General features: G+C 40.7%; 1 long non-coding RNA gene across 1 annotated transcript, besides 2 other annotated features; it reads right to left on the bottom strand.

Annotated features, from left to right (window-relative positions):
- Positions 5,182-5,706: an enhancer, noted in NCBI's record as "OCT4-NANOG-H3K27ac-H3K4me1 hESC enhancer chr16:21233480-21234004 (GRCh37/hg19 assembly coordinates)". NCBI's record gives its function as "activates a minimal SCP1, AML or CMV promoter by ChIP-STARR-seq in naive and primed H9 embryonic stem cells {active_cell/tissue: H9 hESC(naive and primed)}" and the evidence as "EXISTENCE:reporter gene assay evidence [ECO:0000049][PMID:30033119]".
- Positions 5,707-6,232: an enhancer, noted in NCBI's record as "OCT4-NANOG-H3K27ac-H3K4me1 hESC enhancer chr16:21234005-21234530 (GRCh37/hg19 assembly coordinates)". NCBI's record gives its function as "activates a minimal SCP1, AML or CMV promoter by ChIP-STARR-seq in primed H9 embryonic stem cells {active_cell/tissue: H9 hESC(primed)}" and the evidence as "EXISTENCE:reporter gene assay evidence [ECO:0000049][PMID:30033119]".
- On the bottom strand, positions 9,787-16,625 carry LOC105371123 (uncharacterized). The gene is made up of 2 exons (XR_001752344.2): positions 16,515-16,625; positions 9,787-10,608 (listed from the first exon to the last, which is right to left on the bottom strand). It is a non-coding gene; the product is annotated as an uncharacterized LOC105371123 (long non-coding RNA).
- Positions 16,626-16,677: the final 52 nt, after the last annotated feature.

Raw genomic sequence — 16,677 nt, forward strand, 5'->3', positions numbered from 1 at the left:
TCCTTCTTTTTTTTTTTTTTTTTTTTGGCAGGGCTTTGGTCTTGTTGCGCAGGCTGGAGTGCAATGGCATGATCTGGGCTCACTGCAACCTCCACCTCCCAGGTTCAAGTGATTCTCCTGCCTCAGCCTCTCAAGTAGCTGGGATTACAGGTGCACGCCAGCAACCATGGCTAATTATTTTTTTTTTCTTGTATTTTTAGTAGAGACAGGGTTTCACCATGACGGTCAGGCTGGTCTCAAACTCCTGACCTCAAATGATCCACCTGCCTTGGCCTCCCAAAGTGCTGAGATTACAGGCATGAGCCACTGGGCCCAGCCAAGGCAGCTTCTTAACAGAAGAAACACTATTGCCTTCTATCCCCTCCCTGAAATCTCATTATCTATAGCAGGAAAGGAGACTAAGGAATGTAACCACACATGGACAGACTTTTCCACAAGATAATGTCAGCCTCTGAAGCTCAGTCAAATTCCAAAGATAATTATGTACAAGTTAATTTCTCTCTCCCTGGTCTGTTCATTCTCCCTGATAATCATTATTGCCCCTCAAGAGAATTGTCTACAGTCCCCATCTCCTCCCTCCCCTATGAAAAACTGTATATACAGCCAGGCACGGTGGCTCACACCTGTAATCCCAGCACTTTGGGAAGCCGAGGCAGGTGGATCACCTGAGGTCAGGAGTTTGAGACCAGCCTGGCCAACATGGCGAAACCCTGTCTCTACTAAAAATATAAAAAATTAGCCAGGCATGGTGGTGTGTGCCTGTAATCCCAGCTACGCAGGAGTCTGAGGCAGGAGAATCGCTTGAACCCGGCGGGCAGAGGCTGTAGTGAGCCGAGATTGCACCACTACACTCCAGCCTGGGCAACAGAGCAAGACTCCATCTCAAAAAAAAAAAAAAAAGAAAACCCACCGTATATATGCATCTGTGCCCCACTGAGGGTTTAGGGGCAATTACTCTGTGATTCCCACCTTCCCCTGCACATTAATAATTTTGTATGAATTTTTCTCTTATTCATCTGCCTTTGGTCAGTTTATTTTCAGTGAACTTTCAGAGTGCAAAGGTGGGAGTTTTCTTCCTTCAGCCCTTAAAGAATAAGTAACTCCTGCCTTTCTGACTTTGAGGGAGAAGAAAAGGAAAAATCATTTGGGATAAACAGGCTGCACCTGCACACAGATAAGCAACTTTGTCTAATTAGCGAGCTCCTAGGAAAAAGTTTCCTCCCCTTTTCAGACATATCCATGGTGGGAACTTACACAGGGAGGAGGGGGGCTTACCTAAAACAAACCCGCAGTTATCAAAACAAGAGACGCAGGCTTTGTGCTTGCCTAGATACATGCCCACAGTTGCGTAAGATACCGGGAGTTGCACAGACAGCTTTACTGATGAGAAGTTACTCAAACTGCTAGAGATGAGAGAGGAGTTTCTTAAAAAAGCTTTTGAATTCAGCTGTAACCTGGCAATCCACTTGGACTCCCCTCTCTGCTGCAGAGAATTTTTTTCTTTCACTTATTACTATTCTTTTTTGAGACGGAGTTTCGCTCTTGTTGCCCAGGCTGGAGTGCAATGGTGTGATCTCGGGTCACTGCAAACTCTGCCTCCTGGATTCAAGAGATTCTCCTGCCTCAGCCTCCCAAGTAACTGGGATTACAGGCATGCCCCACCACACTCGGCTAATTTTGTATTTTTAGTAGAGATGGGGTTTCATCATATTGGCCAGACTGGTCTCAAATTCCTGACCTCAGGTGATCCACCCACCTCGGCCTCTCAAACTGGTGGGATTAGAGGTGTGAGCCACCACACCTGGCCTCTTTCCCTCATTAAACTTTCACTCCAACCCACCTTTGTGTCCATGTTCCTTAATTTTCTAGGAGGTAGGACAAAGAACCCAGGGTACTAGTTCAGACAATGAGAAAGTCTACATTAAGGTGCATTGGTGAGGTTCCAACAACTTTATTCCCTCTGTTTTGGTTGAATTGTTTTAGTGATAAAATAACCAATTAAATAATTATAGACTGGGCATGGTGGCTCACGCCTATAATCCCAGCACTTTGGGAGGCTGAGGCTAGAAGATAACTTGAGGCCAGGAATTCAAAACCACCTTCGACAGCATGGCAGGACCCTGTCTCTTAAAAATTTATTTAGTTAGTTAGTTTTAGTTTTTTGAGACAGAGTCTCACTCTGTCACCCATGCTGGAGTCCAGTGGTACCATCTGTGCTCCCTGCAACCTCTGCCTCCCAGGTTCAAGCTATTCTTATGACTCAGCCTCCCCAGCAGCTGGGACTACAGGCGTGTGCCACCACACCTGGCTACTTTTTGTATTTTTAGTAGAGATGGGGTTTCATCATGTTGGCCAGGCTGGTCCTGAACTCTTGACCTCAGGTGATCCATCCGCCTTGGCCTCCCAAAGTGCTGGGATTACAAGTGTGAGCCACCGTGCCTGGACAAAAAAAAATTTTTTTTAATAATAATTTTGACTGATTTCTGAGTGAGCTACCTAAGTTACAGAGTCTAAGGCTCAAGGATGAAAACTCAGTAGTATAAAGGTAAAAAGGCGAAATGAATGGATCCGGAACTTGAGGCTTTGAAACAAAGTCCAACTCCCTATGGTAAAATGAAGATATTAAGAGGTTTAATATCTAAAGAGGTTTAGTGACTTGCTCCAGGTCATTTACCAAGTTAGTAGCAGATAGAGCTCCAGTGAGAAACCAGGTCTCCTGATGCCTCTCCCTGCCCTTTCTAATTCATTTCAATTTTCTCTCTCTCGCTGTGTGTGTGTGTCTGTGCATGCGGGGGTGTTTTAAAACTCTGTGCTTCTCTTGCAGTTCACTTGTCTTTTAAAAGTACAAGATGACATTAATTAGAATTTTAGCAGTATAAGATAAATAATATAAAAACTTCTCCCAGTTATGCTAATGCAGCTCAAAATAGCTTTCAAATATCAAATATGAATTTAACTTGGAAAAATAAGATAGACTATGTCAATGAGAATGTTCTCGAACATCATATGGTAGTTCCTTTACCAATCTAATATACAATGTTAATGTTGTTTTCCCCTTGGGTCCTTTAGACAGATCCAAGTTGAATGAGCCTTCTGACAGTAATAAATTCAGAAAGAACTAGGATGAAAGCTTTATCGATCTATAAATATAAAGGTAGGGCGGCATCAATATATGGAAGACAGAAGGCCCAGAAGTCTTTTTTTTTTTTGAGATGGAGTCTTGCTCTGTCGCCCAGGCTGGAGTGCAATGGCGTGATCTCGGCTCATGGCAACCTCCGTCTTCCAGGTTCAAGAGATTCTCCGGTCTCAGCCTCCTGAGTATCTGGGATTATAGGCATGTGCCACCACGCCCAGCTAATTTTTGTACTTTTAGTAGAGATGGGGTTTCACCATGTTGGCCAGGCTGGTCTCGAACTCCTGACCTCAAGTGATCTGCCCCCTCCAGCCTCCCAAAGTGCTGGGATTATAGGCATGAGCCACCACACCTTGCCTTTTTGTCTTTTTTAACTGTTGTTGCTTTAACGTCTGTTTTGACTGATACAAGAATAGCTATTCCTGCTCACTTTTGATGTCCGTTTGCATGGAATGTCCTTTTTCACCCCTTTACTTTAAGTTTATGTGAGTCCTTACATGTTAGATGAGTCTCTTGAAGACAGCAGATACTTGGTTGCTGAATTCTTATTCATTCTGCCATTCTATATCTTTTAAGTAGAGCATTTAGTCCATTTACATTCAGTGTTAGTATTGAGAAGTGAAGTACTATTCTATTCGTTGTGTTAGTTTTTGCCTGAATACCTTGTGTTTTTTTTTTCATTGTGTTTTTGTTTTATAAGTCCTGTGAGACAATGCCTTAAGGAGGTTCTATTTTGGTATATTTTGAAGATTTGTTTCAAGATTTTGAGCTACTTTTAGCAGTTCTTGTAGTGCTGGCTTGGTAGTGGCAAATTCTCTCAGCATTTGTTTGAAAAAAAACTGTGTTTTTCCTTCATTTATGAAGCATAGTTTCACTGGATACCAAATTCTTGGCTGATAATTATTTTGTTTAAGAAGGCTAAAGACAGGACCCCAATCCCTTCTAGCCTGTAGGGTTTCTGCTGAGAAATCTGCTGTTAATCTGATAGTTTTTCCTTTATAGGTTACCTGATGCTTTTGCCTCACAGCTCTTAAGATTCTTTCCTTCATCTTGAATTTGATCATTATGTGCCTACATGATAATCTTTTTACGGTGAATTTCCTGGGTGTTCTTTGAGCTTCTTGTATTTGGATGTCTAGATCTTTAACAAGGCCAAGGAAGTTTTCCTCAATTATTCCCTCAAATATCTTTTTCAAACTTTTAGATTTCTCTTCTTCCTCAGGAATGCCAATTATTCTTAGGTTTGGTCATTTAACATACTCCCAAACTTCTTGGAGACTTTGTTCATTTTTAAAATCCGTTTTTCTTTGTCTTTGTTGGATTGGGTTAACTCAAAAGCCTTGTCTTCGAGCTCTGCAGTTTTCTTCTACTTGTTTGATTCTTGTTGGAGAATACCTGGATACTCATTTGGTTGTCTTTATCCTAGATGGGTATGTGGGTTTGCCTATGCTGAGGTTGTTTCAAGAACCAAGAGAAGTCAATATTGTAAGAGATTAGTGGTATGTGTATGTGTATGTTTATGCATGCATATAGATACATATATATGTTTTTCTAGAGTAGCTTGCATATAAAGGGGCAGTGATATAGCAAGAAATAAGCTGCTGTTTTTAACTATGGCAGGACTCTGCTTGTTCAGAGAGTGTGTAAGATGCCCACACAGCAATGACACTATGGGATGAAGGGGTGCCCTGCCCCTCCAAACCTGTGGGTGTTTTCTTGTCGGGTGGGATGAGAGACTAAGAAAAGAAAGAGACACAGAGACAAAGTATAGAGAAAGAAAAGTGGGCCCAGGGGATCGTCGCTCAGCATACGGAGGACCATGCCGGCACCAGTCTCTGAGTTCCCTTAGTATTTATTGATCATTATCTCTACCATCTCGGAAAGGGGGATGTGGCAGGACAATAGGGTAATAGTGGGGAGAGGTTCAGCAGGAAAACATGTGAACAAATGTCTCTGTGTCATAAACAAAGTTAGAAAAGGTGCTGTGCCTTGATGTGCACATACAGAAACATATCTGGTGCATTAAAGAGCAGTATTACCGCCAGCATGTCTCACCTCCAGCCTTAAGGCAGTTTTCTCCTATCTCAGTAGATGGAACATACAATCCGGTTTTACACTGAGACATTCTATTGCCCAGGGACGAGCAGGAGACAGGTGCCTTTCTCTTATCTCAACTGCAAAGAGGCCTTCCTCTTTTACTAATCCTTCTCAGCACAGACCCTTTACGGGTGTTGGGCTGGGGGACAGTCAGGTCTTTCCCTTCCCGCGAGGCCATATTTCAGACTATCACATGGGGAGAAAACTTGGACAATACCTGGCTTTCCTAGGCAGAGGTCCCTGCGGCCTTCCGCAGTGTTTTGTGTCCCTGGGTACTTGAGATTAGGGAGTGGTGATGACTTTTAACAAGCATACTGCCTTCAAGCATTTGTTTAACAAAGCACATCCTGCATAGCCCTAAATCCATTAAACCTTGAGTCAACACAGCATGTTTCTGGGAGCACAGGGTTGGGGGTAGGGTTACAGATTAACAGCATCTCAAGGCAGAAGAATTTTTCTTAGTACAGAACAAAATGGAGTCTCTTATGTCTACTTCTTTCTACATAGACACAGTAACAGTCTGATCTCTCTTTTCTCCACAATGGGACCAGGATAAAGTGTTACTAAAACACATAGCAGCTAATTTTGCTCTGCGTGGCCACTTCTGTATCCTTGGCTAACCTGGGAAATTATCCTGCAAGTGTGTGTGTGTTCTTTCTACTGATCAGTAATTCAACTGCAATTGGGCAATATGCAAGTTTGCTTAAGTCTTATAACCCTGTGAGTGCAGGTGTAAATATCCCCATATCCCCAAGAGAACAGCCTTTTTAATGCTTGAGAATTGGCCAGACATGCTGGAAATGGGGACTAGAAGAGCTTTCACACAGGCGCATAATATGTATTTGGTGACTGATTGGCACAGAAGGAAATGAGGGAGGGTTAGGATGTAACTGATGTGAGAGGAAATGATAGGACATTGTCACACTCAAAAGGCCATTCGACATGGTTACTGGAGCAAGGCAAATACTGTACATGAGTGAAGTCGGTTGGGTGCAAGGAAATGGCTTTAGTGTGATGAGAATGGCAAGTGACTAACTATTGCCCTCAGGGTCAGGATTACAGCTCTGGGCAGCTGGGGGTGATGTGGACTGTTGAGTCCAGGCTGCATCTAAAGAAATAACTGCTTTGGCTGGGCACAGCGGCTCACACCTGTAATCCCAGCACTTTGGGAGGCCAAGGTGGGTGGATCCCCTGAGGTTGGGAGTTCGAGACTAACCTGACCAACCCGGAGAAACCTCCTGTCTACTAAAAATACAAAAAAATTAGCCGGGCATGGTGGCGCATGCCTGTAATCCCAGGTACTCTGGAGGCTGAGGCAGGAGAATCACTTGAACCCAGGAGGCGGAGGTTGCAGTGAGCTGAGATCGCGCCATTGCACTCCAGCCTGGGCAACAAGAGCAAAACTGCATCTTAAAAAAAAAGAAAAAAGAAAAAAAAGAACTGCTTCCCAGCTCAGGCAGAGGTAATTGTCATGATCTTCAGTTTCTCATCTGGAAGCTGAAAATCCAGATTCCATTCAATTTCCTCAATTTTAATGTTGATATTTAATGTTAAAGATATTTTCAAAATCCTGTGCCTGCCAAACAAGACATATCTCTGGCCATATTTATTCCCATCCACCAGCAGCCTGTAACTTCCAAAACCATGGAGAGACCATGCATATAGTGGCTGAGCTGCTGCTCACCCTGTGGGCGTGGGGCAGGAGGCGAACCTGCAGCTCCTCCCACTCCGTCCAGATCTCCCCCTTCAGCTTCTCTGAATCCTAGGCCAGGTGCGTTTGCAGCTTTGTCTATGGTGAAAGGTGGCAGCTTATCCTGTAGACACCTGTGTCGTCGAGGTTGGGGGTGGTGAGAGACAGGCGTGGGTTTCGTTTTATTCTCTGGGGTTCCAATTTGTCTCTGCAGATTCTAATTTGTTCTTTTTCTTTACTTCCTCTCCATCTTTACTTCCCAATTGCTGGCCCTACGGACTTTGGGTCTAACATCTGGTGCAGAAGAAATAGCCTTACTAGACAGCTTACCTGGCTTCCAGGTATAAGCTTAATCTCTGCAATAAACCCTTTATTCTATATCACTCAGAATGGTTCTGCTTCTCTGATGAAACCTGACTGATACAGAATTTGGTTGCTACCTCCTTATATGAGAGGCAAGGAACCTGGATTGCAGATAGGGACAATAACTCTAGGTCCTACAGTTACTTAGTGACAGTCCTGGGAATTGAATCCAGGGTTCCCCTCATCTCTGCTTTTTACTTTTTCCCCTGTGTTTAAAGAAGTTGATTCTCACCTTTGTATAATCTTTTTTTATTTTTTTGCGACAGAGTTTCACTCTTGTTGCCCAGGCTGGAGTACAGTGGCACAACCTTGGCTCACTGCAACCTCTGTCTCCTGGGTTCAAGTGATTCTCCTGCCTCAGCCTCCAAGTAGCTAGGACTGCAGGTGCGTGCCACCACACCCAGCTAATTTTTGTATGTTTAGTAGAGATGGGGTTTCACCATGTTGGCCAGGCTGGTCTTGACCCCCTGACCTCAGGTGATACATCCACCTCGGCCTCTCAAAGAGCTGGGATTACAGGTGTGAGCCACCATGCCTGGCCACCTTTGTATAATCTTTAAAGCATCTTTTCCATAAAATGTCCCCCACCATTCAAATAACAGCTGAGTCCTGCTAAGTCTCCTTTGATCATAGCTCTGTAAGCCACTCCTTCCTCATTTGGTCCTCTGCAGGTTTTGTAAGCCACATGTACATCGTTCACGTTTCATCCAGAGTTCTGGGAAAGAGTAGGTGGTTCCCAGAAACAATGTGAGTTCATGAGTCTTTCTAAGAAGAAGGGAAGAAAGTTTTTGTCAAGGCCACAATGTATAGACCTTGTGCTAAGCACTGATTTATAAATAATCCAGATAGGAGTAAGAAAATGAAATGAAGTCTCCTTGAGGTGAATTTTCCTCCAGTTGATAGTAGTAGAAAGCTATTATGGGCTGAAAATATATCTCCCCCACCATTCATGTTGAGGTCCTAATTCCCAGCACCTCAGAATGTTACTGTATTTGGAGATAGCCTTTGATACGGTTTGGCTCTGTGTCCCCATCCAAATCTCATCTCAAATTGTAATTCTCACGTGCTGAGGGAGGGAGGTGATTGAATCATGGAGGTGATTTCCCCCATGCTGTTCTAGTGATAGTGAGTTTGTTCCTATGAGATTTGATGGTTTTATAAGTGTTTGGAAGTTCCTCCTTCATTCTCTCTCCTACCACTGTGTGTGGAAGATGCTTGCTTCCCCTTTGCCTTTGCCAGGATTGGGTTTCCTGAAGCCTCCCCAGCCATGTTGGAACTGTGAGTCAATTAAACCTCTTTCCTTGATAAATTACCCAGTCTCGGGTATTTCATTATAGCCGTGTGAAAACAGACTAATACAGCTTTTACAGAGGTGATGATGTTAAATGAAGTTATTAGGGTGTGCTCTAATCAATATGACCATCTTATAAGGACCAAGTGTCCTTATAAGAAGAGAAAATTTGGACACAGACATGTGAAGAGGAAGATGACATGAAGACACAAGGAGAAAATGGCCATTTGCAAGTCTTTTTCCAGGAGAGAGGCCTGGAACAGGTCCTTTCCTCACAGCCCTCAAAAGGAACCAACCACGCTCACACCTTGATTTCAGATTTCTGGCTTTCAGAACTGTAAGAAAATAAATTTGTTTAAGCCACTCAGTCTGTGGTACTTTGTTATGGAAGTCCTAGTAAACTATTACAAAACCCCAGATTGAAATTCAATTCTGTGTGACTGTAAAATATATATTATTTTTATTATACCATGATAAGGGGTAGGACAAAAAAAAAAAAACAAAACTAGGTCTCGGCTGTTGTTATTGAGAAGGAAAATGCAGAGAAAAGAGAAGTTTTAAGAAAATGCTGCATTTATATAGATTGACTTAAAGAAAGGAGAAACTTTCTTTCTCCTAGTGCTAGTACTACTATTAATTTACTTTAATTAAGTGCTGACTACACACCATAAACTGTACTTAGTATTTTACAAATATTCAGTAATTACTTGCAACAACCCTGTGAATGATTCTCTTTTAAAGAGAAAAGTACTGTCTTTATTTTACTGATGAAGAAACTAAAGCTTAGGGAGAAGTAATTTGCCCAACTTAATGGGAAGATCCAATCTGGGGCTTAATATCTGTCAGTCTCTGACTTCAGACCCCATGTTCTCAATCATTATTCTACTCTGGCTTTATTTCAACACAATGCTTGGAGTTTACATTTGCTTGTCTTTCCAATCCAACCATCAGCTTTGTAAGAGTTGAACGGTTTTGATGGTATTTGATGATCTGCTAATGGATGCTATAACACACCTCCCTTGTGGTAAATTCTACCATCTTTGAAACAAAATGGCACCTAACATAGGTTTTTCCAATGATTGTCGTTCCTGCAGTTTTTCTAGAACTTGAGTTATAGAGGGGACCTGTTGGTAGAAGAATTACATGGATTGAAATTTTCAAGTCACAGAACCAATAATTAGGAAGAAGGAAAGACATAAGAAAAAAGGGAAATTTGTTCAGCTAACAAAGCCAGTTTAATCAAGTGTAGAATTTAAATTCCTAGCCCCTGCTTAGACTATCCAGTATTCAAATTTGAAAGAATTTGTTTTTGGAAGCCTTTATAAAACTCTTCACTGTTACAATGTATGCCATCTGGGATTTAGCATTTATAAAATGTGCAGTTAAGAGATGCCAAGAGATTCCTCATGCAAACCAGATGGTACAATAACAGCTCTGTCTTTAGTTTTCTGCCAGAAAAATAGGCCTTTGAATGGCTTGAAACTTATATGAATAAATTAAGCTCAACCAATACTTCAGGGACATTACAATTTCAATAGGCAACTTATCCACTTAAATATTTTTATAAATGTTTTCATTTAGAAAAGAAGAAACAAAAAGGCAGACAATGATTCTTTTTGATTGTTAAAGAATACAAACATGATACAATGCTTTTAAGGAAAACATCAATGACTTTCAATGTGGGAAAGAAAGTTTCTCCTTATTTTGACAGTGTTATATGTGTTTGTTTATTTATTTTTTGAGACGGAGTTTTGCTCTTGTCGCCCAGGCTGGAGTGCAATGGCACAATCTCGGCTTGCTGCAACCTCTGCCTCCCAGGTTCAAGTGATTCTTCTGCCTCAGCCTCCCAAGTAGCTGGGACTACAGGCATATGCCACCACGCCCAGCTAATTTTTGTATTTTTAGTAGACACGGGGTTTCACCATGTTGGCCAGGCTAGTCGATGAATGTGTTTAAGTTAGAAGTGAAGTTGTTGAAATTTCTTCCGAATAGGAGAAATCCATATCAAATAGGTTGAACAGTTGTATCATTGTGCTAAAGAGAAAAGAATACACATGTAAGTGACATTTTCTGGATAATATATTTGAGCACATCTTTACCTTAACAGATAGTCTCTCATAAACCCAAGGGCAGTGCATACAGCAGTGTGTTACTGATGGCTTCTTTTGTCCTTGCCTGGTTCCTGCAAGTTTTCTATGGAACAACAGGACTTTTGTATTACTCTCTAATTTCCCTTACTTTGTTACTGTTTTTATTTTCATTAAAATTCATAATAAGATCCTCATTAGATGAAGTAATCTTGTTAAAAGCAGTGTTCTACTCTGATCTTTTTCCTTCTTATGTAAAAAAAAAAAATGTGCTTCCCTACCATACAAGTGAATTTCTTCTCTAATTAGACATGAATAGCTTTAGAGATCAAACACAGGCTGCTTTTGAAAACCAGATCTCTTAGGACACAGGGGCAATCTCATTACTGAAAATATGTGTTTCTGGGTTGCACAAGCCATTGAATTTCTTTCCCAATTAGCAGCAAATGGTTTTTCAGAACAATGAGGAAGAAGTTTGGTTTGTACTTTGCAAGTGTTGTTTTTTTCTTGGAGTTAGACTGGAAGTATCAACTACCATCATCTCTGTCCCTTCTTTTCCTCTCCCTGAGCAAAGGAACACACATGACTCTGTTTTATAGATAGTCAGAGTTCCAGGTAAATTCTTCATCCAAATGCTACTTCCTCTGGGCCAGGATTGGACTCCATGGTAGAAGGAACACCTATTTAAGACTACCTAGTTGTCAGCTACTGTCAGCTGTTATGATGTTAGGGGAGACTGCAAAATCATAAACACAGCAATGAGAAGCTGACAATGTCCTTGCTCTGGGGGGAGGAGGGGAACCATTCATGAGAGAATCTCTCCAAGTGCTGCCCCTAGAAGCAGATTAACCATGTTTTCTCTGGGTCTTTGGCAAAAAAGAAGTGGTGTCTGTGGAGAAGGGCTTCTTATCATTAAATAACCAACTGCTTGGGGTTCCAGATAATAGGTTGAGGTTCTAGAGTTTTAGGACAGTGCAGGAGGAAATAAGACCTGCCTGTCTAAACCTAAGTGTCAGTCAGAGTCAAGGGAACACAGAGGTCATGGACAGGATGTTTCTCTAAGTTGAGACATACTAGTAGTGCAGGAGTATGGGGAGATATGAGGAGCATGGCGAGGCTCCAACAGGAAGGTTGATGAGAGCTTTGACTTGGGGTCACTGCCACTCAGGTCCGAGCCTCAAAGTCTCTCCAGTGTGTGTCTGGCAAATATTCTTCTCTGGCCTTCCAAGAGTCCAGCTGTATGCTGATGGAACACGCTCAAATACTAATTTCCACAAGATCAGTACAGTCAAGAAAATCCACAACTGCCCCCACAATTACCATGACTCCTCACAAGGAATTAATGTCTACATTATATGCAAATTCGTGTTAGCTCTTTTTATTAATTTCTGCCCTTACCATCTCCCACCAATTTTGTTTCCTTTGGGCTTTGAGGAATTCAAAAATGATTACTGGGCTAAAACTTCCTCTGTCTGTTCCCTAAGCCACAATCACACTACTTCTAGTTTGTAAAAACATGCTTTATGGGTTGCAAGAAATTTTATTTCTTCATCTTTACTAAAGTTAGTTGATGCTGATGATAATGATGATATGATCACTAGCAACATCCCCCAGTTTTATCCACAAGGATATGGAGACTCAAATAGATGGAGTAACTTTTCCTGGATTATATGAACGCTAGGTCTTCAACCCTCCTTCCCAACCTCACCTTGAAGGGATAGGATAAGGAGGATCTTCAAGTTCAGAAAAATGTTTTAAATCCTTATCTCTGCCCCCACTTCCCCACCCCCCGCTGCCCCTGCCACCCCATTCTTCTCCCAAGGAGGAAATTTTCCCAAGGGCGTGCCAGAGGATGCCAGGATATTTACCATTTAAGAAAGTTTGGTTATTTCGCCATTTCACAGGAGACTTTAAGTTCTAGTCCTAAGGACTGCTGGAACTGAGAAATTCTTTCTCTTTCTTGTCTTCTATCTCCAATCCTTCTTCCCCATCTCTATAATTATTCTGTCCTCTTTACCCTTTGCCTCCATCCTGTGAAACTTAATCACGCAAATTGCATCATTCTTGTTATACCCAACTAAATCAGGGTTGAGAGGCTGGGTGGTGGAGTTGGGGGAGAAAGCACTCCGAGTACAAAAAATAAATAAATAAATAAAAATTGCTCCAAGAACGTAATTCTCAGCAAGACTGACTGCTGGAACTGCCTGCTGTAACCCGGGAGCAGTTTTATTTACAGCTGCTGAGATAACTTGCTGCAACTCTAGGACAAATTTTGCCCACTAATCAGAGCTTGCCAGCTCCCCAAACCCTTACTAGTGCCAATGAACTTTCTTGAAGAGCAATATGTAACATTTCTCTTGTTAATAAAACCTCTAAACTTCTCTTTTCTTCTTCAGACATACTGAAGACCACCTGGTCTATGTGTGTATCCCAAATTGCAAGTCTTTTTCCAAATAAAACATTAAATTTAGAGATTCAGCTCTAAATTTTTATTTTGACTTTGACAATCCTCATCCTAATTTGGCTTATGACCATCCTAGTGGCCACTATTCTTCTCTTTCTCTTCCTCTTCCTCATCCTTATCTTCTGAAAGCAGACCCTTTGGCTGGAGTCTTAGGATTCTACTACAAATAATACATCTTTGAGAAGTTCTCTATCGGTTATATGTATTTTTATTTTTTATTTTTTTTGCACTCTGTCACCCAGGCTGGAGTGCAGTGGTGTGATCTTGGCTCACTGCAACCTCAGCCTCCCAGGCTCAATCAATTCTCCTGCCTCAGCCTCATGAGTAGCTGGGCTTACAGGTGTGCACCACCATGCCCAGATAATTTTTGTATTTTAGTAGAGATGGGGTTTTGCCATGTTGGCCAAGTGGGTCTTCAACTCCCGACCTCAAGTGATTCACCCACCTTTGCCTCCCAAAGTGCTAGGATTATAGGCGTGAGCCACCTCGCCTGACCTGTTTTTAAATTTCAAAGTGCATTAATGAATGCAGTTGTATCTAAATTAAAGTGGCTCATGCAAAACTTGATGAAGAACCTTACCATTTTCTCACAGTATTCATAATCATGTTTGGATATGTCACTCTCTCTGGGCTAAAAACAATGTTTAAAAAAAGCTAAATAATGCTGCCCTCCAGGCTGCTTCTACTGCTCTTCACCTAGAAGCCAGAAAAAGGAACAAACAGTGACCTTTGGAGCTCATTATTATTGTGAAGAAACTGTAGATGAAAGCTTTGTACTTTTTCTGAGTGGGTAAATAATTTATCTTGGAATAAAAACTTAGACAAAAAGAGATAAGAGGAATATACAGTTACAGGCTTCAAAAATAGATATTTCTCACATCAGTTTAGTGGACAATTATCTAAATATATTAAAGATTGTGTAACAATATGGGGATATATTTATGATGGATTAAGGAGTGGAAAAGATGTAATGTAAAATTATATGTATTTGATGAAAACAATGTAAAAAATACACCACAGGAGAACATATGCATAGTTGATGAGTTATGTAAGGATGGCGGTTTCTAATTTAGTTGCAGTGTCTTCAGAGAACACGGTTTGCATGAACCCTGTTATTTGTTATTTGTCGAGAACTGCACTGCTTCTATTCAGTGGTCAGGTTTTATAAATATTCTGTGTGCTTAGAAAAAACATGCATTTACTATTGGGCACAGGGTCCTTTCTCCATGTGACTGTTAGATCAAGCTTGTTAATTGTGTTCAAATCTGTTTTTCTTCTTTTTTTTTTTTTTTGAGATGGAGTCTCACTCTGTCACCAGGCTGGAGTGCAATGGTGCGATCTCAGCTCACTGCAACCTCCGCCTCCCGGGTTTAGGCGACTCTCCTGCCTCAGCCTCCCGAGTAGCTGGGACTACAGGCACATGCCACCATGCCCAGCTAATTTTTGTATTTTTAGTAGAGACGTGGTTTCACCATATTGGCCAGGATGGTCTCAATCTCTTGACCTCGTGATCTGCACCCCCTCAGCCTCTCAAAGTGCTAGGATTACAGGTGTGAGCCACTGTGCCCGGCCCAAATATTTTATAGCTATACCAATCTTTAGTCTGATATAGAACATTATGATGATGTCTGAAATCTTCCCTTATGATTGTGGTTTTGTTTTTTTTTTTCTGTTTAATTTTTGCTTTCCCTTTTTTGCAGCTGTGTTATTTAATTTATACAAGTTTAAAACGATCATAGTTTCTTGATTAATTGTTCCTTTCATTATCATGTATTATCTCTCTTTATGCCTAGTAAATTTTTTTGGCTTAAGCTATATTTTTCCTTGCTACCAATACGGGTGCTCTTCAACTTACAATGCAAAACCACCATAAGTTGATATAATAACTCAGTTGTGAGCTGAGAAGCATACTAAATACCTGTCATTTTTGTGCCATCATAAAGTTGAAAAATTAGGTCAAACTCTCATAAGTTGCAGACCATCTATGTGGGTACACCAATGTTTTGTTAGTATTTGCTTGCTATAACTTTTCCATTTTTTGCTTTCAATCTTTCTGCAATTTTATATTTTAGATATGTCTATTATAAACAAGACATGGCTGAGTCTTCCACATCATAAATTTAGTCCATTTTCTTTTGTTTTTATTACAGATCTGGAAATTTTTTGGTCTTATATTGTACTCCTTATAGTCATTTTTCTATACTTTTTCTCCTTCCCTTGAGTTATTGATAATATGTTTAAGTTATTGATTTGAGATCTTTTTTCTTTCTCATATATGCATAAAAAACTACAAATTTTGCCCTAAGCTTTTCTTTAACTGCATCCTATAAATCTTGATATGTGGTATTTTCATTTTCATTCTGTTCCAAATATGTCTGATATAGGACTTGTATCCAGAGTATATAAATAATTCTTATAATTTATTAATAAGACAACCACTTAAAAATTGGGCAAAAAGATTTGAATAGAAGATGTAAGAATGGCTAATGGGCACATGAAAAGATGCTCAATATCTTAGTCATTAGGAAATTGAAAATTAAAGCCATAATAAGACCACTTCATATCCACTAGGATGACCATAAACAAAAAGATAGGCAATAATAAGGCTGGCAAGGTTGTGGAGAAATTGAAACCCTCATACGTTATTGGTGGAAATGTGAAGTAGTACAGCCACTTTGGAAAACAGTCTGGCAACTTCTGAAATTTAAATGTAAATTGCCATGCAACCCAGCAGTTTCACTCCTTGATATATACGCAAGACACATGAAAATATGTGTCCACACAGAGACTTGTACATCAGTGCTCATAGCAGCATTATTCATCATTACTGAAAAATGGAAACAACCCAAATATTCATCATATTCATGAAACATTGAATGGATGAAGAACATGTGGTATGTTAGCACAGTGGAATATTATTCAGCAGTGAAAAGAAAGAAACCATTACATGCTACACATGACAAACCTCAAAAAAGTATGTGAATTGAAACAAGCTATACACTAAAGACTATATATTGTAGGATTCCATTTGTCTGAAATGCCCGTAAAAAACAAATCTATAGAGACAGAAAGCAGACTGTGGTTTCCTGAGGTTGGGAGTGGAAATGGGATTGACAGCAAATGGCATGAGGGATCTTTAAGGGCTGATGGAAACTGGATTATGATAATGGGCATGCAACTCTATAAATGTCCTAAAAATCATTGAATTGTATGCATGAAATGGGTAAATTTAATGATGTTATACCTCAATAAAGCTGTTCTTTTTGGAAAAAACAGCTAGTGAACTAGAGTAGCTCTGCATTTTATTAAGAAATTATTTCTTACATCCTGTGCCTAGATGGCCAATATTACACTCAAGAAACTAATGGACATAGAAAAATTGAATGTACCTCCAAACACTCAAGATGAATACAGCAGTCTTCAATAGTCAACGTCATGGCCATTCCAGAGAGAAAAGGTCCAAGTTCAGTGCCTCGAACCTTGTTGCCTTCCGTGAAAGGAAGCAGTTGAAATGAGCTTTGCCCCTGGTGACACTCTTCCTTGTCACTAATT

This window comes from Homo sapiens, chromosome 16 (assembly GCF_000001405.40).
Source record: "Homo sapiens chromosome 16, GRCh38.p14 Primary Assembly".
In the NCBI taxonomy this organism is placed as follows: domain Eukaryota; kingdom Metazoa; phylum Chordata; class Mammalia; order Primates; family Hominidae; genus Homo; species Homo sapiens.